The sequence below is a fragment of the Homo sapiens genome, chromosome 22 (genome assembly GCF_000001405.40).
Source record: "Homo sapiens chromosome 22, GRCh38.p14 Primary Assembly".
Classification (NCBI taxonomy): domain Eukaryota; kingdom Metazoa; phylum Chordata; class Mammalia; order Primates; family Hominidae; genus Homo; species Homo sapiens.
In genome coordinates this window covers 46,294,023-46,317,888 of record NC_000022.11, presented here as the reverse complement: position 1 = coordinate 46,317,888, position 23,866 = coordinate 46,294,023, and the positions used below count along the sequence as shown (strand labels likewise).

General features: G+C 49.0%; 1 protein-coding gene and 1 long non-coding RNA gene across 5 annotated transcripts in view, besides 2 other annotated features; one reads left to right on the top strand and one right to left on the bottom strand.

Moving 5' to 3' along the window:
• Positions 1–21,019, bottom strand: part of GTSE1 (G2 and S-phase expressed 1) — a 33,941-nt gene extending 12,922 nt beyond the window's left edge. For 2 of the 4 annotated variants that reach the window (NM_016426.7, XM_047441392.1), the window contains exons 1-7: positions 20,958–21,019; positions 20,410–20,509; positions 9,682–9,739; positions 8,946–9,570; positions 5,584–5,748; positions 3,876–3,999; positions 1,477–1,857 (exon numbers count right to left, since the gene is read on the bottom strand). In NM_016426.7, coding sequence (NP_057510.5) covers positions 1,477–1,857; positions 3,876–3,999; positions 5,584–5,748; positions 8,946–9,570; positions 9,682–9,739; positions 20,410–20,488 — 1,432 coding nt within the window. In that variant the 5' untranslated portion in view covers positions 20,489–20,509; positions 20,958–21,019. Of the gene's footprint in view, positions 1–25; positions 1,379–1,476; positions 1,858–3,875; positions 4,000–5,583; positions 5,749–8,945; positions 9,571–9,681; positions 9,740–20,409 lie in introns of all 4 variants that reach the window. The other 2 variants (XR_007067974.1, XM_047441391.1) reach the window with 2 other exon arrangements.
• Positions 20,502–20,611: an enhancer, noted in NCBI's record as "active region_19234". NCBI's record gives its function as "activates an Ori minimal core promoter by ATAC-STARR-seq in GM12878 lymphoblastoid cells {active_cell/tissue: GM12878}" and the evidence as "EXISTENCE:reporter gene assay evidence [ECO:0000049][PMID:35858748]".
• Positions 20,762–20,961: a silencer, noted in NCBI's record as "silent region_13909". NCBI's record gives its function as "represses an Ori minimal core promoter by ATAC-STARR-seq in GM12878 lymphoblastoid cells {active_cell/tissue: GM12878}" and the evidence as "EXISTENCE:reporter gene assay evidence [ECO:0000049][PMID:35858748]".
• On the top strand, positions 21,229–22,746 carry GTSE1-DT (GTSE1 divergent transcript). The gene has a single exon (NR_024009.1). It is a non-coding gene; the product is annotated as a GTSE1 divergent transcript (long non-coding RNA).
• The last annotated feature ends 1,120 nt before the right edge of the window (positions 22,747–23,866 follow it).

Genomic DNA, 23,866 nt, shown 5'->3' with positions numbered 1-23,866 from the left:
CAGGGCCGAGAAACCGCCGTCTTACCAGGGAGCAACGAGCGGAGCTCACAGGGCCGAGAAGGTGTCATCTTGCAGCAGCAGGAGTGCAGGGGTCTCGCGGGCCTTGCGGGACACACGGGTGTGCAGCAGAGGCCTTGGGAAGGACGCCGGTGGCGGGAGGCGGAAAGGCTATGCTAGACCCACCACTTCAAAGCATAAAAAGCCTCGGAAGGATGATCTGCACCTTAACTGCCTGCCAAGCCCAACCCAACTCCTCAGAGAAAGACAACAAAATCCAGACATTCAAAAGTGTACACCTGACAATATCCAACAACCAAGAAAAACTTGTGAAAAATGTAGAGGCAGGAAAATGAGGCCAAAACCCGGAAACAAAATTAGTCAGTCGAAACAGACCCCAAAATGATGGGGAAGATGGTATGAGAAGAATCGTAGACCCTAAAACCATTATCAATTTGCTCACGAGGATGTAAAAGAAAACCCAAGTACCATGAGAAGAAATAAGGGGAAACTATTATGTTAGAAACAAAGTTAACTGGATGGGCTTCACAGCTGTTAGGCACTGCAGAAGAAATGATATCTGACAACAGAAACTACCCAAACTGTAGCTCAAGGAAAAAGGCTGGGCCGGGCACGGTGGCTCACACCTATAATCCCAGCAGTTTGAGAGGCCGAGATGGGTGGGTCACTTGAGGTCAGGAGTTCCAGACCAGCCTGGCCAACATGGCGAAACCCCGTCTCTACCAAAAATACAAAAAAAAAATTAGCCGGGTGTGGTGGTGGGCACCTGTAATCCCAGCTACTCGGGAGGCTGAGGCAGGAGAATTGCTTGAACTCGGTAGGTGGAGGTTACAGTGCGCTGAGATCGCGCCACTGCATTCCACCCTGGGTGACAGAGCGAGACTCCGTCTCAAAAAACAAAAAACAAAAAAAAAGAAAGAAAGAAAAGAAAAAAGATAAGAAAAAGAAAAAAGGCTGAAATAAAAAAAAGAACAGAGCTTCGGTGTCCTGTGAGACAACGTCAAGAGGCCTGAAATAGATGTGATTAGAGTCCTAGGAAATAAAGTGGAAAGAGGAAAAGATAGCTGAAGAAATAATGGCCAACGTTTTCCAAATTTGCTGAAAAAAACCAACCCACAGATCAAAGAAGCTTAAGAAACCCTCAGCGGGATAAAGGCAAAGAAAGCCACCTCAAAGCACATAATAATCAAATTCCCGACAGTAACACTAAAGAGAAAACCTTACAAGCAGCCTACGAGCATTGGGGTGTCACACACACAGGAACGAACGTAAGACATTCAGGGAGCCTCCAGTGACCCCCCAAAACAACGTGGGCGAGAAGACAGCGGGTCACACCTGAAAGCACTGTTGGAGGAAAGAACTAAAAACACCATCAATGCCATCAATAATTGTTTAAAACTTTAAATGCAATTTCTTCAGTATTTTTTAAAGACACATTAAAATGTATCTATTACTCACCAATAGAAAACTTAGGAATTTTAAATTGATTTGTAGGAGTAGGCATAACCTTTGTCTTGGAATTTAGACAGGAATCTCGCCGTCTGATACTTCTAGTCTTATTCAATTGAGAAGATTCTGACCAAGCGCAACTGGAGTTCAGCCACTGGCCGCCACCTTCCGGAGTCTGGGGTTGGGTGGGGGATGCTGAGGGGGGTGCCGTGAGCTGCTCCGCTGCCAGCTCAGAAACATCGACCCGCTTGGCCTGCCAGGAGGATGCCCCCACAGGGCCTGCAGGCAGAGCTGGCCGCAGCATGGCGGGTCCCATTCTGCCTGACTTGCTGATGTTTGACAGAGGCCGGGAGCTATTTGCAGGAATACTTGCAAATTCACTTGATTTAGCTAGAAGGTATACACACAAAAATCACATTATTATAAAAGTATGAAGCTATTTAACAAACACACAGAAGTTATGCTGTCTTTAGCATATCTACCTTAAACATAAGACACATTAACAATATTCTATAAGCCCTTCAGGCAACATCATCAAACACAGGATGGCTCAGGCAGCTTTTAGCTTAGCTGAGTGTATTCTAAGGTACTTATTCTCAAAATAATTACTAACATGTACATAAGCATGCATAAATTCAAGCTCTCCTATCTTCGTTGATTATGTTGGCAGGAGAAATCTACATTAGTTGAGCAGATGGAAGGGGATAGTCTAGTCACATGTCTCACCTGTCTGGTCACAGAGGTGGGCAGGGAACAAGGAAAAAAGACGCAATTGTTACTGGTTGATTCCTTTAAAATTACAAGGAGGCTGCGTCATATTAACCATAAGCACTATTTAAAATAGAAGACCAGATAAACTAGGGTAATACATACTGAGCTACCAATATACGCAGACGATCTGGTAAAGGATTCTTAAAGAAAAACTTTAGCCCAGGAGTGGTGGCTCACGCCTGTAATCCAAACACTTTGGGAGGCCAAGGCAAGAGATCACTCAAGGCCAGGAGTTCGAGACCAGCCTGGCTAATATAGTGAGACCATCCTCTCTACAAAAAACACAAAAATGTGGGCCAGGCGCAGTGGCTCGTGCCTGTAATCCTAGCACTTTGGGAGGCCAAGGCGGGCGGATCACGAGGTCAAGAGATCGAGACCATCCTAGCCAACATGGTGAAACCCCGTCACTACTAAAAATACAAAAATTAGCCGGGCGTGGTGGCAGGTGCCTGTAGTCCCAGCTACTTGGGAGGCTGAGGCAGGAGAATCACTCGAACCCGGGAGGCAGAGGTTGTAGTGAGCCAAGATTGCGCCACTGCACTCCAACCTGGCAATAGAGTGAGACTCCATCTCAAAAAAAAAAAACCCACAAAAATTAGCCGGGTGTGGTGGCATGTGCCTGTAGTCCCAGCTACTCAGGAGGCTGAGGTGGGAGGATTGCTTGATCTCAGGAGGTCATCACCTCAGTCTATAAAGATAAGGACACAAACCTCTCTTAATCACAGAATGGCAGAGTCAGAATTCCAGATCAGATCAATCTGATTAGAGAGTTCACACTTATCATTTTTTTTTTTTTTTTTGAGACGGAGTGCAGTGATGCAATCTCGGCTCATGGTAACCTCTGCCTCCCGCGTTCAAGCCATTCTCGTGGCCCAGTCTCCCGAGTAGCTGGGACTACAGGCACCCGCCACCATGCCCGGCTAGTTTTTGTGTTTTTAGTAGAGACAGGGTTTCACCATGTTGGCCAGGCTGGTCTCAAACTCCAGGGGTCAAGCGATCCACCCATCTTGGCCTGCCAAAGTGCTGGGATCACAGGCGTGAGCCCCTGCGCCCGGCCCACTTTTTACATTTTGTGAACACAATCCACACCATGCTGCCCTGAACGACCCCGAGACGCCACATGGCCAATGCACCTCGAAGAGGATTTCGCTCTGAAGAGCAGAAAGGCGAAGGCTTTCCCTTACCACTAGATGGCAGCTGTGGCTTGGCAAGGTTGAAATGTGGCTTGACCTCAAACAGGTGTGGGAGCATGGATTTAAACAGGCACCCAGGAGTTATGGGGCCATATGCCCTACATTATCTGGAATAGTCCTATTTTAAAACTGGTGTCTCATGACATGGACATGAGGGTGATTCCAGTGTCCATGTTCTCAGGCACGGGGTATCATACATGCTTTCTGGCCATGTGTACCCCGTAGACTGAAGCCACCCATCTGAGTGTGCCCTCCTCATGGGACAGAGGCACTGAGGGCAGGTACAGCAACTCAGTCCACAGCCTGGTCCACCGCACACAGCACGCCCTCCGGGACGTCCTGCCAAGCCTAAGTGGTTCTGCAGAAACAGTCTCCAAGGCCTGAGCAGCACTCCAGGCCTCACCTGGCCAGATGTGGGTCCAAGCATGATGCCGGCTGCCTCACCTTTGCCCACTGCTGGGGATGTGCACGCACTGGATGCCCCGCTCCAAACAGGCCCCGAGGAGGACTTCCTTGCGAGATTGCTGGTAGAGCCGGGTGCTTTTAACAGGGTCTTCTTCAGCCCCAACTGGGGCAAAATGTGAAAAAACAGAATCAGCAAAGATCTCGTTATTTACCTATTACTTGTGTCTGCAAAAGTAAGGGGTTTTTGGCTGGGCACGGTGGCTCACGCCTGTAATCCCAGCACTTTGGGAGGCTGAGGCCGGAGGATCACAAGGTCAGGAGTTTGAGACCAGCCTGGCCAATATGGTGAAACCTTGTCTCTACTAAAAATATAAAAACTAGCTGGGCATGGTGGCAGGCACCTGTAGTCCCAGCTACTCGGGAGGCTGAGGTAGGAGAATTGCTTGAACCCGGGAGGTGGAGGTTGTAGTGAGCTGAGCTCGTGCCATTGCACTCCAGCCTGGGCGACAGAGTGAGACTCCGTCTCAACAACAACAACAACAACAAAAGTTGGTGTTTTTACTATTTTAAAATAATCTAATAATTATCATCTTGAATTTAAAGAAGAAAAAAGTCAAGCAGCACTTCTCAAAGTGTAGTCTTCAAACCCCTGCATGAGGACCACATTAGGGAGCTAGCAGAAATGCAGATTTGGGGCCCCAACCCAGACCCCATGAGTCAGCAGCTGCAGGGCCCAGCTTTGGGCAGTTCTAACAAGAACTGCCAGTACACACAGCTTGGTTTACCGCCAATGCCAGAAAATAAGTGGCAAAGATGTGGCTGGTAGTCTCCATGCCTGTGAGGAACCGCAATTTTCTTTCTTTTCCTTTTTTTTTTTTTTTTTTTTAGACAGGGTCTCACTCTGTTGCCCAGGCTGGAATGGAATGCAGTGGCATGATCACAGCTCACTGCAGCCTTGACCTCCTGGGCTCAAGCAATCCTCCCACCTCAACCTCCCAAATAGCTGGGACCACAGGCATGCACCACCATGCCTGGCTGATTTTTATTTTTTAATGGAGATGGGGGCCTCACTATGTTGCCCAGGCTGGTCTCAAACTCCTGGGCTCAAGTGATCCTCCCGCCTCAGCCTCCCAAAGTGCTGAGATTACATGTGTGAGCCACTGCACCCAGCTGCTGTTTTCAAAACATCAACATCTCATGTCATCTGTTCAAGAACTCTACATGAGGGAAACGGAATATCCCCACCTACAAACTGGGGCTCCGAGACGCTGACTTTTCCCAACCCACACAGCTCCCAGGGCAGAGGCTAGCCATCAGTGCACACTGCGAAGCCAGTATTCTTTGCATGTATTTTGCAGGCTGCCTCTTGTGGGTGTATTTTCAACTTTTCCACCTCTTTTTTTTTTTTTTTTTTGAGACAGGGTCTCATTCTGTCACCCAACCTGGAGTGCAGTGGCGTGATTATGACTCACTGCAGCCTCGACCTCCTGGGCTCAAGCAATCATCCCACCTCAGCCTCCTGAGTAGCTGGGACTGCCGTTGCTCACCACCATGCCCAGCTAATTTTTGTATTTTTTGTAGAGATGGGTTTCATCATGTTGCTCAGGCTGGTCTTGAACTCCTGGGCTCAAGTGATCCTCCCACCTTGGCCTCCCAAAATGCTGGGATTTTAATCCAAAGCACTTGTACACACAGCTGCCACCTCATTCCCAGCAACCACAAGTTTGGGCCCCAGCAGCCAACTCACCTTGTTTGGAACAGGGATCGCCCGCTTGCCCTGGCCCAAGTGGCTTCCGGCGGCCGGCACATTGACAGCACCCGGGGCAGGTTTGTCAGGGAGAACATCCCGGTGGGATTCCTTCTCAGCTGGGATTTTTGTCCTGGAAGGACTAGCTGGAATCTCTTTCTTGGGCTGAAAATTTTAATTTGAACTGTGAGAACTGTCTAGTGCTTAACAATGTACAGAGATACTCAGGCTTCCATTCAGAGCGAGCCTAGGCCCCATCTTCCCCAGTGCTACACATGCCCCTCCATTCATCAGCCAGATTGAAGGGAACAGGGCAAGCAGTTCGCATCCTCCACCAAATCACTATGGACATAAGTGATGATGGATTTTGCTTCCTCATTAAAAACAGCATCAAATGATACCTACACAGATCATTAATAGGAGAGAGGTTCTCTAAAGCCATTCCCCAGTCAGGATCCTTATTTAAGAATGATAATGAGAAAGCTGGTCTAGTTACACAAATTTTAAAATGCTGTACAGAAAGGACTCATCCATTAAATGGTCATCTCTACCAGAGAAGCTGCTCAATTGCAATAAATCTTCTTGGTCTAGTACTGAAAGCCATTTTCTTTGGCCAGCAGAGTCAAAAAATAAGTTCTTGACATATTTAGGGACAAGGGCATTCATGGAACTAATTTATACTTACATAAATAGCCCCCTTATAACAGGAGAGTTAATAAGGTAACAGCAATAGAAGCTCAGAGTGGTAAAGACGCAGCAGTAACTTTTTCCCTTTATAGCATTTCTAAAAACTGAGATACTTCTCATAACATAAAATTCACTATTTTAAACAGTATACTTCAGTGGTTTTTAGTAGATCTGTTATGTTGTACAACCAGCACAAGCTAATCTTAAAATATAGTGGTGTCCCAAAAAAGAACCTGTACTCGGCCGGGTGCAGTGGCTCACGCCTGTAATCCCAGCACTTTGTGAGGCCGAGGCGGGCAGATCACCTGAGGCCAGGAGTTTGAGACCAGCCTGACTAATATGATGAAACCCTGTCTCTACTAAAAATACAAAAATTAGCCGGGCGTGGTGGCGGGCGCCTGTAATCCCAGCTACTCGGGAGGCTGAGACAGGAGGACTGCTTGAACCCGAGAGGCAGAGGATGCAGTGAGCCGAGATTGCACCATTGCACTCCTGCCTCGGCAACAAGAGCAAAACTCTGTCTCAGAAACAAAACAAAACAAAACAAAAAAAAAAACAACCTGTACCCATTAGCGGTTCTCCCCTTTCCCTCATCCTCCCCAGCCCCACCTAGGGAAGCACTCAACCACGCCTCTGTCATTGGCCTGTCATAGTCATTTCATATAAATGGAACCATACGACATGGGACCTTTTGTTATGGCCTCTCTCACTGAGCAAAATGTTTTCAGTGGTGCCATCTTGGCTCACTGCAACCTCCACCTCCTGGGTTCAGGCGATTCTCCTGCCTCAGCCTCCCAAGTAGCTGGGATTACAGGTGTGCACCACCATACTTGGCTAATTTTTGTATTTTTTTGTAGAGACGGGGTTTCACCATGTTGGCCGGGCTGGGCTCAAACTCCTGACCTCAGGTGATTCGCCCACCTTGGCTTCCCAAAGTGCTGTGATCACAGGTGTGAGCTACCACGCCCAGTAGTGTTTCTTTTTATTGCCAAAAATAAACCATTGTTTGGATAGACTGCATTTTCGTTACCCAATCATCATTTGCTGGATGCCTGGGTTGGTCCTACTTTTTTGGCTGTTATGAATAATGCTGCTTCGAACATCTGCATGTGGATTTTTCTGTGGATATGGTTTCAATTCTCTCAGGTCTGTGTACTAAGGAGTGGAATTGCTGGGTCCCATGGGACCCTCTACATTTATTTTTTTGAGGAGCTGCCAAACTGTTTCCACAACAGCTGCCCCATTTCACAGTCCCACCAGCAATGCGTGAGCTTCCAGCTTCTCCACATCCTCAGCCTTCTCCTCATCCTCCACAACATCCTCATCCTCAAAATAACACCTGTTATTTTCTTTTTCTTCTTCCTTTAGGCATCCTAGCAGTTCTCTGTCAAGCACACTTGTAAGTAGGTGTTACACTCAAGTGGTCCACCCATTGCTAATGACTCCTCACAGGAGTGAGCATGTGCCATGAGCCACTCTAGAAGTGACTTCTCCCAGAGAAACATGCAGGACATGGTGGGGCTCCCACGTGTGCATGAGTGCATCTCAGCTGTGCGGACAGTGCCCTGTCCACTGGGAACAAGCTCTCTGGACCCCAGCTCACCACCCAGGACCAGGAGATCAAAAGAGATACTTCGATGGGTCTGGAGCAGCCCAAATCACACCACCTCTCTCCCCGAGTCCACGCGTGCTACATGCACAATCCCTGTCCCGAGTCCACGTGTGCTCCACACAGCAGGACCCATCCCACTCTCATTCTAGAAACATCACGGTAGGAATCTACATCCCAAACGGGCTCCAAATAAAGGAGTTTGCAGGCCCCAGCTGTTGGGGGTGGCAGTGCCGGGCATACCTCCTTGTCAAGGGCAGTGTGTGGCGTGGCGGCTGCACCTCGGCTGCCTTCCATCCTTGGCTCTCACCACAGGGAGTCATGTGGCTCAGGAGATGGGCTTGGTGGGGGTAAAGGAATTTCTGGGCCCTTGCTGAGCATTCTGCATTTGCCTGCACCTCCTATCAGCCCCACCCAGGGTCATTCCTCTGTACGTGCTGCCCAGGGGAGGGGGCAGAGCTGGGAACGGGCTGCAGGGTGGGCCCCGGGGCTCCCACCCGCCCCGTCTTCCTCTCTGTGGCCTCTCCCGAGCAAGAGCCAGATCGGGCAGCCCTGGCAGCAAGTCCTGTGCTCACACCCAGCTTTCCCCCAGACCTCCAGGACCCTCAGTGTCCCAGAGTAGGCAGACTGCACCCAAAGGCACCCCTGTCAACTGCCACCTCCCAGGAAAGCTCACCTCACTCAGTGCCCAGGAGGAATGCAGTGTAAACTGAGGCACGGTCAAGGAGGCTGACTAGCAGCCATTGCAGAGGAGGGGAGTTTTTGGAAGAGGTTGCTTATTAAAGCAAATGAAATCCCTACTGTGTGGTATATCCAGCATTGTAACAAAACAAAAGGAACAACTTCAGACAGAATTTAGGAGGAAATATTAGGTCAACCCAACTTATCCAAGCCACCCCCACATCAGCTCCCTATTGGCAACTGCTTTTCCTGGACTCCGCATTCCTGTGTTTTGTAGGCCTCAGAGACTCGCCACCTCTGAGGCTTTCCGCATGTGGCTTCTGTGAGAGGGCTGAGGGGCAAGGAGTGGGGGCTCCCCAGGCAGGCGCTCTGCTGTGGCATTTACCTTCTCCGCAGCCCCAGGGATGCTTCTTCCTCTAACAGAGGCCGCTCGAGGCAGCAGCAATTTGGTCCCGGGCTTCCTCTGAGTCGCTGCCTGACTTGCAGCATGAGCAGTGCATGATTCCCTGGGCAAAGCATGAGCAGAGTGCGGAGGCCCCGGCGCCCGGGTGAGGCGGGCCTGGGCACCAGAGCTGGGCAGGGCCGGGGAGGAGGCCAAGAGCCGAGGCTCACCCACAGGGGGCCCCAGCAAGGGGCTGTCTGACAGGTAGTATGTCTCCCTTTTAAGAGACGTGGGGCTTTTCTTCATTTCCTTTTCTTTCTCAAAGAGGTTTATTTTTAATTTTGACTCCTGTATGAATCTTTCCACGCCCTGGCTCCGAGGGTCTTCAGGCTTGGCAGCTTGGGCTGCCTGGTTCCGGCTGCTGCTCTCAATGTGTAAAGCCAGTAAGTGAGCTTCTTTGTACACCTCCACGAACTTCTCCCCGGCCAGAGGGCTCCAGGCAAAGGGACTCTCAGATGTGGGCAACGGAGGCTGTTCGGGAACCGGATTATTTAATTCCAAGCTGGCAGCAATACATCTTTCTTTATGTCCAAAGGGTCCGAAGAAGACTTCATCATCTTCATTTGCACTATTTGTTTAAAAAAAGAATGATTAATAACTCATAACACTGGCATTTAAAGGAAAGACTTTACTGAATGTGGTTATGCCCAAGGCAAGGGAAGAAAACTCATTTGTTTACCTCGAAGAAGACAATGAAAGATCGAAGTCAAATTTTTCATCGGCCAAAAGAAGAATGTCTAGAGGGAAAAAATCCACTGTTATTTTAGTGCCACAGCTGATAAAGAGAAAAATATTACCAGGCTCTATGGCTTGGAATTAAATAAAGGTACTGTGAAATTTCACTCCCCAAAGTGTATCCTGTCATGATGCTAATTTAGTTTTTCATAGGGGGCTCTAAGTTATATTTTTTCCTTTTTAAAAAATTTTTTAAATTTTTTCTAGTGACGAAGTCTCGCTATGTTGACCAGGCTGGTCTCGAACTCCTGGCCTCAAGTGATCCTCCTGGCGTGGCCTCCCAAAGTGTTGGGGTTACAGGCGTGAGCCACCATGCCTGGCCAGTTTTTTTTTTTTTTAATTGCATCAGCCGGCTGGGGGCGGTGGCTTATGCCTGTAACTCCAACACTTTGGGAGGTCTAGGCGGGCAGATCATGAGGTCAAGAGATCAAGACCAGCCTAGTCAACATGGTGAAACCCCGTCTCTACTAAAAATACAAAAATTGGCTAGGCATGGTAGCGCACACCTGTAGTCCCAGCTACTCGGAGGCTGAGGCAGGAGAATCGCTTGAACCCAGGAGGTGGAAGTTGCAGTGAGCCAAGATGGCACCACTGCACTCCAGCCTGGGTGACAGAAAGACACTCTGTCTCAAAAAAAAAAGAAATTACATCAGCCATTCTATGTTCACTAAGCCACCCAAAAGCTTAGGTCCTTACTTTTAAGATATAATCTAAAATGCATTCACTGACTCATTCAACTAGCTTTTCAAGAAGAGATAAGTCATTTTCCAGGTATAGAACATTTTCAAAAGACCACCTTCCTCAGCTCCCCTAGAATTAAATTCCCCTCTTACAAGCTACAAAACATCTATTCATAGTTCAACAATGAATTTAATATTACTCAAATGCACGGAGTAGGGACTCTATAAGAATTCGTTGACCGCCATTGCTTCTTGGAGTCCTTCCTGAATCCTCAGATGAAATTACTCTGTACCCCACCCCATCCATAATTCTATCACAGCTGGCATGGCCCTGTCTGCCCAGGTCCCTCTAAAACAGATCACAAGTTCCAGGTTAGTGGGTCCCTCTGCAGGGGCACCTGCTCCCTCCTCCAGCTCCCCGCAAGGCTCCCGCAGTGCCTGGACCTCACTTCTACCACTGCACTAGCCTCTGTGAGTGCCTCTTGACCCTTCTATGGCCCCAACTAGACTATAAGCTCCTCCAAGATAACAGTGTCTAACACTAACCCAAATTCCCAAATGTCCAGCTAAGGGCCTGGACACTTAGCAAATATTTATCAAAATGCACTGAAATACAGTATTTGCTCAATACTGTAAAGCTTATAAAGCTCTCCCATAAATGTTTTTATCTTAATAAACAATGAAGGCCGGGCAAGGTGGCTCACACCTGTAATCCCAGCACTTTGGGAGGCTGAGGCAGGCAGATGATTTGTGGTCAGGAGTTCGAGATCAGCCTGGCCAACGTGGCAAAATCCCATCTCTACCAAAAATAAAGAATAAAAAAATTAGCCGAGCGTGGTGGTGTGCACCTGTAATCCCAGCTACTGGGGAGGCTGAGGCAGGAGAATTGCTTGAACCTCGGAGGTAGATGTTGCAATGAACCAAGATTGCGCCACTGCACTCCAGCCTGGGTGACACAGCAAGACTCTGTCTCAGAAAACAAAACAAAACAGGCTGGGCGCAATGGCTCACGCCTGTAATCCCAGCACTTTGGGAGGCCGAGGCGGGCGGATCACGAGGTCAGGAGATCAAGACCATCCTGGCTAACATGGTGAAACCCTGTCTCTACAAAAAATGCAAAAAATTAGCCGGGCGTGGTGGCAGGTGCCTGTAGTCCCAGCTACTCGGGAGGCTGAGGCAGGAGAATGGCGTGAACCTGGGAGGCGGAGCTTGCAGTGAGCAGAGATCGCGCCACTGCACTCCAGCCTGGGTGACTGAGTGAGACTCTGTCTCAAAAAAATAAATAAATAAATAAAAATAACAACACAGCATGCTTCTCAAAAATCATAAAATTTGAAAATATACTAATATCCTAATTTGGTCCTGATTAATCAATTATTCTTAATTACCTAATCAAGGAGAAGTCAGAACAAATGCACAAAAGAAAGAAAAGAGAAATAACCACACAGAGAGGGAATGAAAAGATCCATAAGCACATCTGTCAACTTCATGCACATAAACCTAAGAACTTGGCTGAAAGAGATAATTTTCTAGGAAAATATAATTTTATTTATTCTTTTTTTTTTGAGATGGAGTCTCACTCTGTTGCCCAGGCTGGAGTGCAGTGGGGTGATCTTGGCTCACTGCAACCTCCGCCTCCCAGGTTCAAGAGATTCTTCTGCCTCAGCCTCCTGAGTAGCTGGGATTACAGGCGCGCGCCACCACACCGGGCTAATTTTCGTATTTTTAGTAGAGATGCGGTTTCACCATGTTGGCCAGGCTGGTCTCAAATTCCTGACCTTGTGTTCCACCTGCCTCAGCCTCCCAAAGTGCTGGGATTACAGGCGTGAGCCACTGCACTTGGTATATTCTTTTTATTTTTTTGAGATGGAGTCTCACTCTGTCACTCAGGCTGGAGTGCAGTGGTGTGATCTTGGCTCACTACAACCTCTGCTTCCCAGGTTCCAGCGATTTTCCTGCCTCAGCCTCCCGAGTAGCTGGGATTACAGGCACGTGCTACCACGCCCAGCTAATTTTTTGTATTTCTAGTAGAGACGGGGTTTCACAATGTTAGCCAGGATGGTCTCGATCTCCTGACCTCGTGATCCCTCCATCTCGGCCTTCCAAAGTGCTGGGATTACAGGCGTGAGCCACCGCATCCAGTCTATTTTTTATTTAAATTGTCTAAATGTACTTATTTATAAAACTGACTCCAGAAGACAGGGAAAATCTTAATACTTCAATAATCATAAAATAACTGGTGAAATTTATTAAAGAGCTATCCTCTTCAAAAAAGCGTCCCAACTAGATTCATAGGATAATTGTATCAAAACATTAAAGAACAAATAATTCCAATACTATTTACATCACTCCAGAGGATTAAAAGAAAAAAAACTTTCCAACTTACTTCCACGAGGCAAGTAAGTATGTTACCAAAAAACCTAGAAAGTGATCAATAAAGAAAGTAAAGACCAGCCTTACTTACATCAGCATAATAATCCTTTTTCTTTTTTTGAGACAGGGTCTCGCTCTGTCACCCAGGCTGGAGTACAGTGGTACAATCATAGCTCACTGCAGCCTCGAACTCCTGGACTCGAGGGATCCTCCTGTCTCGGCTTCCCGAGTAGCTGGGACTACAGGCACGCACAACCATCCCTGGCTAATATTTGTATTTTTTGTAGAGATGGGATCTCCTCATGTTGCCCAGGCTGGTCTCAAACTGCTGGGAACAAGCATTCCTCCTACCTTGGCCTCCCAAAGTGCTGGGATTACAGGTATGAGCTACCACACCTGGCCTAACATCAAACTCTTTAACAAGAATACCAGCAAAAAGAATCCTGCAAACATTAAAGTGGTAATAACATAACACAACCAAGCTCCCTGCATTTCATGACTGTGAGATGGTTTCATTTCATACAATCTACTCATATAATCATTTTATTACTAGAGCTAAAGAGAAAACCATGATCGTCTGCACATATGTTGAACGGGCATATGATAAAATACAACATACATTCTTGATTTTAGAGGCTCTTAATAAAAAGTAATAGATATATAAGGAAATCCCCATCTCAACCCAAAGCCAGCATTAGGTTCAGTGGGATAACGTCAGAAGTATTCCTTCTAAAGACAGGAACAAATTGATCTTACCAGTTAGGATAGGCTAACATGCTGAAGTAACAACCCTTAAAACAACAAAGGTAGGCCAGGTATGGTGGCCTGTGCCTGTAATCCCAGCACTATGGGAGGCCAAGGAGGATCACTTGAGGCCCAGGGGTTCAAGGCCAGCCCTCGCAACATAGCGAGACCCCAGCTCTACAAAAAGAAAAAAAAAAATGAGCGGGGTATGGTGCCATATACCTGTAGTCCCAGCTACTCAGGATGCTGAGCCCAGGAGCTTGCGGCTGCAGTGAGCTATGATCAAGCCACTGCACTCCATCCTGGGCAATAGAGCAAGAGACACTGTCTCAAAACAAACCAAAAACCACAAAGGTATATTTCTCACTCAAACTATATGTCTGCAGAGGGGTAGGCTGGGGCCCTGCTCCCTGGCCTCCTCACTCCAGGACCCCAACTGATGGAGCCTCCACCATCAGGAACACCGCTCGTCTCCATGGCAGGAAGGAAAAGAACCAATTCCACACTGGTTCTTGAAGATTTCCACCCAGAAATGACACACACGACAACATTCCCATTTCACTGGCCAAGTGAGTCACCAGAGCCAACTGAATTTCAAGTGAACAGGGAGTACAATTCTATTACATGCCCAGAAGACAAACACATAGAAATGCTCATGAATAGCACACCTACGACTACCATTTACTTGGAAATTAACCCATAACCCAGTATCGGACTTAATGAAAAACCACAGAAGCAATTCCATTAAAGCCAGGCACGTGGCAATGACATCTCCAAGCACAATTCTTAACACTGTTCTGGACACATAAAGCAACACAGTCAGGCAAAGGAAGGAATGTGGAGGTAACATGATCACACTGCACAGATGCCATGATTATAGACACGAGAAACAAATCAAGAAGATCAACTGGAAACTACTATAAGTAGTAAAAGGATAAAAGAACATGGCTAAGGACAAAATCATTACAGAGCAATCAACAGCTTTCATATCTACAAAGAACAGTGAGAAGATAACATGGAAGAAAATACTTCGTTTCTAGCAGCAACGAAAGATGCAAAATAACGATAAACAAACCTAACAAGAAATATGCAAAATGGATATAAAGAAGACTTGGCATATCATAAAAGTAACATATCAAATAAAGAGGGAAAGTAGACCGGGCAGGGTGGCTCACATCTGTAATCCCAGCACTTTGGGAGGCCGAGGAGGGTGGATCACAAGGTCAGGAGATCGAGACCATCCTGGCTAACACGGTGAAACCCCATCTCTACTAAAAAATACAAAAAATTAGCCGGGTGTGGTGGCAGGTGCCTGTAGTCCCAGCTACTTGGGAGGCTGATGCAGAAGAATGGCATGAACCTGGGAGGCGGAGCTTGCAGTGAGCCAAGATCACGCCACTGCACTCCAGCCTGGGTGACAGAGCAAGACTCCAACTCAAAGAAAAAAAAAAAAAAAAAAGAGGGAAAGTGAAAAAATGGTATTAAAATAAACTACATAATCATCTGGAAAAATGCCAACTAAGTTTGGTCCATGCCTCACACCACATCAGGCCTAATTCCAAACAAATCAAGGACTTAATGGAAAAAAAACAAAGCCCTAAACAAACAAGAATCAGCTATGAGGAAACTTTTGTAACTTGGGAGTGTGGACTTCTAACTATGACACTAAACTGGAAGCTACCAAAGATTGGTCGGCTGGGCCCAGTGGCTCACATCTGTAATCCCAGCACTTTGGGAGGCTGAGGTGGGAGGAACGCTTGAGCCTAGGAGTTTGAGACCAGCCTAGACAACATAGGGAGACCTTGTCTGTACAAAAAATACAAAAATTAGCTAGGCGTGGTAGTCTCAGCTACCAGGGAGGCTTAGGAAGGAGGATCGCATGAGCCTGGGAGGTCAAAGCTGCAGTGAGCCACAATCTCGCCACTACACTCAGGCCCAGGCAACAGAACAAGAACATGTCTCAGAAAATAAATAAATAAAAAATAAAAGATTGACCTTCAAACATTAAAATTTTAACATCTCTGTGTGGCAAAAATCACAATAAGTTAAACAAGAAATGGGGAAAAGAATATTTGCAACTCAGTTCATAAAGGGCTAATTCATGAAGCATATCTATAAAGTAATAAAAAATTAATAATCTAATAAAGATAGAAAAAGGATACAAACAGATAAAGTTCACAGAAAATAAAACAAAACATTCTTTTTTATTTTTCTTTATTTACTTTTTTTGAGACGGAGTTTCACTCTTGTTGCTCAGGCTGGAGTGCAATGGCGCGATCTTGGCTCACCGCAACCTCTGCCTCCTGGGTTCAAGCGATTCTCCTGCCCTAGCCTCCCAAGTAGCTGGGATCAGTATGAACCAGCATGTCTGGCTAATTTTGTATTTTTAGTAGAGACGGGGTTTCTGCATGTTGGTCAGGCTGGTCTGGAACTCCCGATCTCAGGTGATCCGCCCACCCTGGCCTCCCAAAGTGTTGGGATGACAGGCGCAAGCCACCGCACCTGGCCGAAACATTCTTAAATAGATGGCAAGAAGTTCAGCCTCACTCAAAAATAAGAGTAATGAGGCTGGGCGCTGTGGCTCCCACCTATAATCCCAGCACTTTGGAAGGTCGAGGCGGGTGGATCACCTGAGGTCAGGAGTTCGAGACCAGCCTGGCCAACATGGTGAAACCTCATCTTTACTAAAAATACAAAAAATTAGCCAGGCCTGGTGGCAGGTGCCTGTAATCCCAGCTACTTGGGAGGCTGAGGCAGGAGAATTGCTGGAACCTGAGAGGGGGAGTTTGCAGTGAGCCGAGATCGCACCATTGCACTCCAGCCTAGGGGACAAAAGGGAAACTCTGTCTTAAAAAAAAAAAAAAAAAGTATTAAAAATAAACTTGCTCTGAGAATGCAGTTTTCGCCTATATGACTGGCAAAACTCAAAGATGTATGAACTATAGGCAAGGTTGTGGGGAAAGAGACAATTTCTACACTGCTGGGGAAGGTGTAAATTATCACAGCTCTCTAGAGGGCCTGGCAGTACCTATCGAAGTAAGAAACACACACCCTCTTCGACCCAGCAAGTCTACTTCTGCAAGTGTATCCTACAGACACTCACAGGTGTGGAAAGCAATGTGTTGTGCAGTTACACGGTGTCCACAGTTATTTACTGCAGCATCATTGGTAACAGCAAGACTCTAGGCACAAACTAAATGTTCACCCACAGCAGATGAGATGAATGACATATCCCCAAGGTGGAACCCTATATAGGTACAAAAGCTAGTAATGCTCTTCATGTGTTGATACACAATATTCATCAAGATAAATTAAGCCTGAAAAACAAGATTCAGGACAGGGCTCTCCATGCTATATGGAAAGGGGGATGCAACACTCTATGCGTGTTGGCTTGCACCTGCACAAATTATGTCTGGAAGGATACCCAAGAGACTGATGACATCGATGGCCCTTGGAAGGGCAAGTAGGTGACTTAGAGATATAGAGAGGCAGACATTTCACTTTTTACACCTCTAAATTAGGAAGTCAATTTCAGAAACTTCTAATGGTCTGGCGTGGAAAAAGAATCCAGGACCAGAACTCAGGGAAGCAGTCTTCTGCTCCAGGCTCTGTGACTGGCTCCGAGGGGTCCCGGGCTGGCTGACTTGCTCATCCTGCAAACACATGAGCACCCACAACAGACCACATCCTTCGCTAGGTGCCAGGCAGGCTTGGGGTACATGCAGCCCACCCTGGAGGGTGCCTCAGGCAGTGCGGTGAGAGACATGTAGAGGTGGGAACACCTCTGAGAAAATATCAAAGCGTGTGTGAGAGGAACGGGTCAGAAGTCAGAGTGGCTGGAAGAGGTGAAAACACAAGTTGGGTCAGATCACAGAGGGTTTGCAAGCCATGGCAAGGAGCTTTTATTTTCTCCAAAGTGGGATAGGAAACTATTACCGGGCTTTAAGAAAAGAATTTTAGGCCTGGCGTGGTAGCTCATGCCTGTAATCCCAGCACAGTGGTAGGCTGAGGCAGGCGGATCACTTGAGGTCGAGTTCGAGACCGTCCTGACCAACATGGTGAAACCCCGTCTCTACTGAAAATACAAAACTTAGCTGGGCACGGTGGCTCATGCCTTTAATCCCAGCTACTCAGGAGGCTGAGGCAGGGGAATCACTTGAACCCAGGAGACGGAGGTTGCAGTGAGCCAAGATGTCGCCACTGCACTCCAGCCTGGTGACAGAACGAGACTCCATCTCAAAAAGAAAAAAAAGGCTGAGCACAGTGGCTCATGCCTGTAATCCCAGCACTTCCGGAGGCCCAGGCGGGCAGATCACGAGGTCAGGAGATTGAGACCATCCTGGCTAACACAGTGAAACCCCATCTCTACTAAAAAAAAAAAAAAAAAAAAAAAAATTAGCTGGGCGTGGTGGCGGGCGCCTGTAGTCCCAGATACTCAGGAGGCTGAGGCAGGAGAATTGCTTGAACCCAAGAGGCGGAGGTTGCAGTAAGCCGAGATCACGCCACTGCACTCCAGCCTGGCCAACAGTGAGACTCTGTCTCAAAAAAAAAAAAGAAAAAGAAAAAAGAAAAGAAAAGAGCTTTATAATCTAACTTGTGTTTTTAAAAGGTGACGTTACTGTGTAGAAAGTGTATCCGAAAGGAAGCAGATAATATCCCCTGACATTACAAATGCACATATTAGCCAACGGGAAGTAGAAGCCGGTGAGACAGCGTGGCTGAGACCCAGACAGCAGCATGTGGATGGAGATGGAGAGTCTGTAGATGGATTCAGGATATCTTCTGAAGGTGGAGAAGACGTTAGCTGGTGATGGCATGAATGTAGGAGGTTCTCAGCTTGCACAGCTGGGTGAAATGGAGAAATAAAATGGGTGATGAGAAAGACAAAAAGAACAGGGTATGCAGATGCAGAGGGGGTATGCCAAGTTTGAGATGAGACGTGCATGTGAAGACGCCAAATAGGCAGGTGAATATACAAGCCCAGAGCTCGGAGGAGAGGCTGCGCTCAAGACAAAACGTGGGTGCCGCAGAGAGCAGATACGCTGCACAGCTATTGGAATGCTGACCGCCCTGAGGGCGAAAGCACAAAGCGGTCCCAGAGCAGGTCTTGGGGAAATCAGCCTCAGAAGACAGCAGAGGGGGAGCCCCCGACAGAGAAAAGATACACCAGCCAGAGAGGCAGGAGGAAAAAACCAAGAGCGTCTTGGACTCCAAGCAAGGGAAGTTTCCAGAAGGACGAATGTTACTGAAAAGCTGACTGGCGATAGAAAAGTGAAAAGAGATTCAGCAATGTGGAAGTCGTCAACGACTGATGAAAGCAGCTTGAATGGAGTGGTAAGGACAGAAGCCGGAATGGGAGGGATTGAGAGGCGGAAAAAAATGGCATAACAAGTGAGAAAGCTCTCAAAGTTTGGCTTGGAAGGAGAAACACAGCAATGGAGAGGCAACGGAGGAGACGTGGCGACAAGTGAGACAAGGGAACATTATCTGTATGTGGATGCGCATGATCCAGTAGTGGACAGGGGAAAAGTAAGGAAATGAAGTCAGGTCAACGGAAGTGGGGAAGGCCTCAAGAAGGAGCAGGGGGTGCAGTATGCACGTGGAAAGGACATATTTGAAAGGAAGGACATGACAGGAAGGAGGAGAGGGGTGCAGAGGCAAGCGCCTTGCTAGATATGAAGATGCAACATTGATTTGTAAAGTCTCCAGGACAGTTCCTGCAAAATGGAGGCATTGAGGATGCTTGGGGCCAGGCGCGGTGGTTCACACCTGTAATCCCAGTACTTTGGGAGGCCTAGGCAGGTGGATCACCTGAGGTCAGGAGTTTGAGACCAGCCTGGCCAACATGGTAAAACCCCATCTCTACTAAAAATACAAAAATCAGCCAGGTGTGGTGGCGGGTGCCTGTAATCCCAGCTACTCGGGAGGCTGAGGCAGGAGAATCGCTTGAACCCGAAAGGCAGAGGTTGCAGTGAGCCAAGATCATGCCACTGCACTCCAGCCTGGGAGACAGAGTGAGACTTGGTCTCAAAAAGAAAGGATCCTTGGGTAGTGTGAGAAAACTACCCAAGGGATGTCAAAATGCTTTGTGAGGCTGGGTGAGGTGGCTCACACCTATAATCCTAGCACTTTGGGAGGCCGAGGCAGGCAGATTGCCTGAGCTCAGGAGTTCGAGACCAGCCTGGGCAACATGGCAAAACCCCGTCTCTGTTAAAAATACAAAAATGAGCCAGGTGTGGCAGCGGGTGCCTGTAATCCCAGTTACTAGGGAGGCTGAGGCAGGAGAATCCCTTCAACTCAGGAGAGAGAGGTTGCAGTGAGTACAGATCACGCCTTTGCACTCCAGCCTGGGTGAGAGAGCGAGACTCCGTCAATAAATAAATAAATAAATAAATAAAAACGCTTTGAGAGAAAAAGAGGGTGTGGCCTGTAACTCATTCTGTGAAGCTGTACCCTCACCTTGATACCCAAACCAGTCAAAGACACAAGAAGAAAGGGGTTTGGGGCCAGGCTTACTCATTAACATGGTCTCAAAGATCCTAAATAAGTCTTAGCAAACAGAAACCAGCGACAAACAAAAAAGAAAACATCGAATTCAATACAATAAATATTTGAGAGCCCACAAAGTGTTAGGTGCTGTTCAGGGCATGGGAGCACTGCGGTAAATAAAACGGATGAGAATCCTGGCTGTGATGAAACTTAAAATGGGGAGGAGGTGAAAGAAAACCAGAAAACGAAGGCAGATGTCATGTGTTTCACAGGTGCAGAGTACAAGTCGAGCACTTGAGAAAGAATTTCTCAGGGAAACATTAAATCACCCTCCATCTCTACTGAACATCCTGAACAACAACAGCGCCGCAGCAGCAAGGACTTGCCTTCCTTCTTAGGGTCATCCATGTTCACGTCCCCTGCCCGGCAGGCTGAAGGCTCATCGCGGCCGCCGCCTCCTTCCATGGAGAGAGCTGTCAGAAGTCACTGCAGGGTGGAACGGGGCCAGAAAGTGAGTACGTGTCAGGGCCCAGGGCTCCGGCTTCCTTCAGCCCTCGGCTCACAGAGGCAGAGAGAGCTGAAGGCCGCGGCCAGGTCTGGGAGAGGCGGCGCGGGGGCCGCTCTGAAATGATCGCATCCCAGGGGACCCCAGGGCCCGAGTGCCGCCAGGCCGGGAGTCAGCCCGAACGCCATCAGACGAGATAACGGAATTCTCGGCTTCTGGGCCAGAGTGTTGGGGGCTCTGTTTGCCTGGGGGGCAGCCCTAGACCTCCCGGCATCCCCGACCACGGCGCGAGGGGCCTCAGTGACCCCTGCTCGAGCCCAGGCCCGGCTCCTGGCGGGGCGCGGCCCCTCCCCGTCCCGAAAACGGCGGGCACCGCGCCGCACCGGGCCCACCGGGCAAGCCTCGCCCCCGACCCTGACCCCACCTTACCCAAAGCGGCAGACGATGCAGGACGCGCCTCCGGCACGGATTTAAACGCGGCGCCGGGAGACGCGGGTTGCCGATTGGTCGGTTTGAAAAGGGCTCCGAGAGGCGGCGGGCTGGGTGCGTCCTGGGTATTGTAGTCAGGACGCTGGTAAGAAGCGTCCAGTGCGCATGCGCACTGCTTCAGCGCAGCGAATGGCTCCGCACAGCGCCAGGGATCACCCACCCGGAAGTCTGCCCGGCCTGGCCGCCAAGTGTCACTAGGTATCCGCGTCAAGCCGGAACCATGTATAGCAGCTCCTTGTGTGTAGGGAGAAAGTTAAAACTGCCATCTAAGGGTGTCGATGGGAAGACTAAAAGTAGGCTCACCCACCTGCTGTGAAGCAGCGCGCGCGAGCTGTTACTAACAGTAGTGAAAAGCCGGGATCCCTGCCCCCGAGGCACGCACTGGGGCGCCGGCTGACCCAGAGACCTGAGGGAGACTCATTGCCGGAGCTGCACAGCCTGTGGGGCTGGAGGGGAACCGTCGCCCTTGGCGGGCTTCCCCAACCGCCAAGGCCTGAGGACCGCCGAGGGCGTGGCGGGAGCCTGTCCTCGGTTTTACAGGCCGGCTGGGGAGCTGCGTTGGAGGAGAGAGCCAGGGGCTGGGGCCCGGTGATGGAGCCTGCCTTGGGGAGTGCATGTGTTGGAGAGAGGTGGGAAGCAGATAGGATAACCCTGACCTGAGCCATGGAGACGCAAGGACAGGACTGGTAGACGGGTCAGTGGGCAGCAACTTAAGACTGACCTCGCTTGAGCCTTTGCCTGCGAACGAGGTATAATACCCACCTCGGGGGCTTGAGGATCAAATGAGGGGCTCCACCCACGGCAAAGTGTCACTAAGCGGGATGGAGGAGGATGCAGGAAGAGGAGTCTGGGAGGACCCGCTCTGAAAAGGATGGAACTCGAGAGCACCATTTTCAGGGACGAAGATAAGCTGTTTATTTGGGGCAGGCTGTGGGGAGAGCTGTGCAGCAAACAGCCACCCGGGGCCCAGGGCAGAGGCCTTCCAGGCTGGCTCGGGCACTTCTGGGTCCCATGTCCCTGGTTTTGCATCATCCATACCAATCACTCCATGTTGCTATGTTCCTTCACCAGAAGACTGGGGGCTCAAAAAGGGCAGGGCAGCCCTCACTCACCAGTCTCCCCAGCCTCACCCAGCTCAGCACAGGGCACCAGGCAGGGGCTGAGAGTGCTGGGGTAGGTGGGTGTGGTCAAACAGCTTGGAAAGAGTTTGGCCTGCTCATTGCATTCCCCTCAGCTCATCCTGGGGATGTCTGCTCATGGGAGAATGGCAGAGGGATCCCCAACAGTCATTCCTGATACTCCTCTCCCTGTATCATGTCAGCACATAGTAGGTGTGGCCTATGTATGGCAGATTCATTTCTGCCCCCAATAGGATTTGCTGTAGTTTGGATGTGTGTCCCCTCAAAATCTCATGTTGAAATGTGATCCCAATGTTGGAAGTGGGGCCTGGTGGGAAGTAATTGGGTCGTGAGGGCAGATCCCTTATGAATGGTTCAGCACCATCCCCTTGGTGATGAGTTCTTGCTTAGTTCACACAAGATCTGGTTATTTAAGAGTCTAAGACCTCCCCTTCTCTCTTACTCCTGCTCTCACTATGTGATATACTGGCTCCCCATCACCTTATGTCATGATCTTAAGCTTCCTGAGGTTGCACCAGAAGCAGATGCCAGCACCATACTTCCTGAAAAGCCTGCAGAACTGTGAGCCAATTAAACCTCTTTATAAATTACCTAGCGTCAGGTATTTCTTCATAGCAATGCAAGAAGGCCTAATACAGAGTTTGACTTCATTTATTTATGCCTTCATTCACCAACTTTCACTGACAGCTACTCAGTGCAGGCCATGTGCCAGGTGATGCTGGGGACAGATGCTGTCCCTGACCTGGAGAGGTCATGGCAGGGGTGCAAGAGCAAGGGCAAGTGCCAAGGGCTGAGGGGCACAGAGGCAGCACCCTCACCAGCCTGCAGTGGGGGTTGGCGGGTAGAAGGCTTCCTGGAGGAGGGACCAGGGTTCCCAATTGCACAGCCAAGTCATGTCTTCTTGCTTGGAACCAGGAGAGGGGAAGGAGGCTCCCCTTAGGATGTGTCCCTAGTTCTTGGGTAGAGAAGGCGCCTCTCTGGAAATACTACTATAATTACCCCTTTTCTTTCTTTCTTTTTTTTTTTTTTTGAGACGGAGTCTTGCTTTGTCGCCCAGGCTGGAGTGCAGTGGCGCGATCTCCGCTCACTGCAAGCTCTGCCTCCCGGGTTCACGCCATTCTCCTGCCTCAGCCTCCCGAGTAGCTGGGACTACAGGCGCCCACCACCATGCCCGGCTAATTTTTTGTATTTTTAATAGAGATGGGGTTTCACCGTGTTAGCCAGGATGGTCTTGATCTCCTGACCTCGTGATCTACCTGCCTCAGCCTCCCAAAGTGCTGGGATTACAGACGTGAGCCACTGCGCCCGACCTCCCATTTTCTTGACTAGATGCCCCACCTACTTTTTTTTTTTTTTCCCTTGAGATGGGAGTCTCGCTCTGTTGCCCAGACTGCAGTGCAATGGCACGATCTTGGCTCACTGCAATCACTGCCTCCCAGGTTCAAGTGATTCTCCTGCCTCAGCCTCCCGAGTAGCTGGGATTACAGACGTGTGCCACCATGCTCAGCTAATTTTTGTATTTTCAGTAGACACAGGGTTTCACCATGTTGGCCAGGCTGATCTCGAACTCCTGACATCAGGGGATCCACCCACCTCAGCCTCCCAAAGTGGTGGGATTACAGGCGTGAGCCACTGCGCCTGGCCTGCCCCACCTACCTTAAGTTCAAGGAGAAGCCATCTCCCCAGGACCCAGCCCCAGGCCTGCACCAC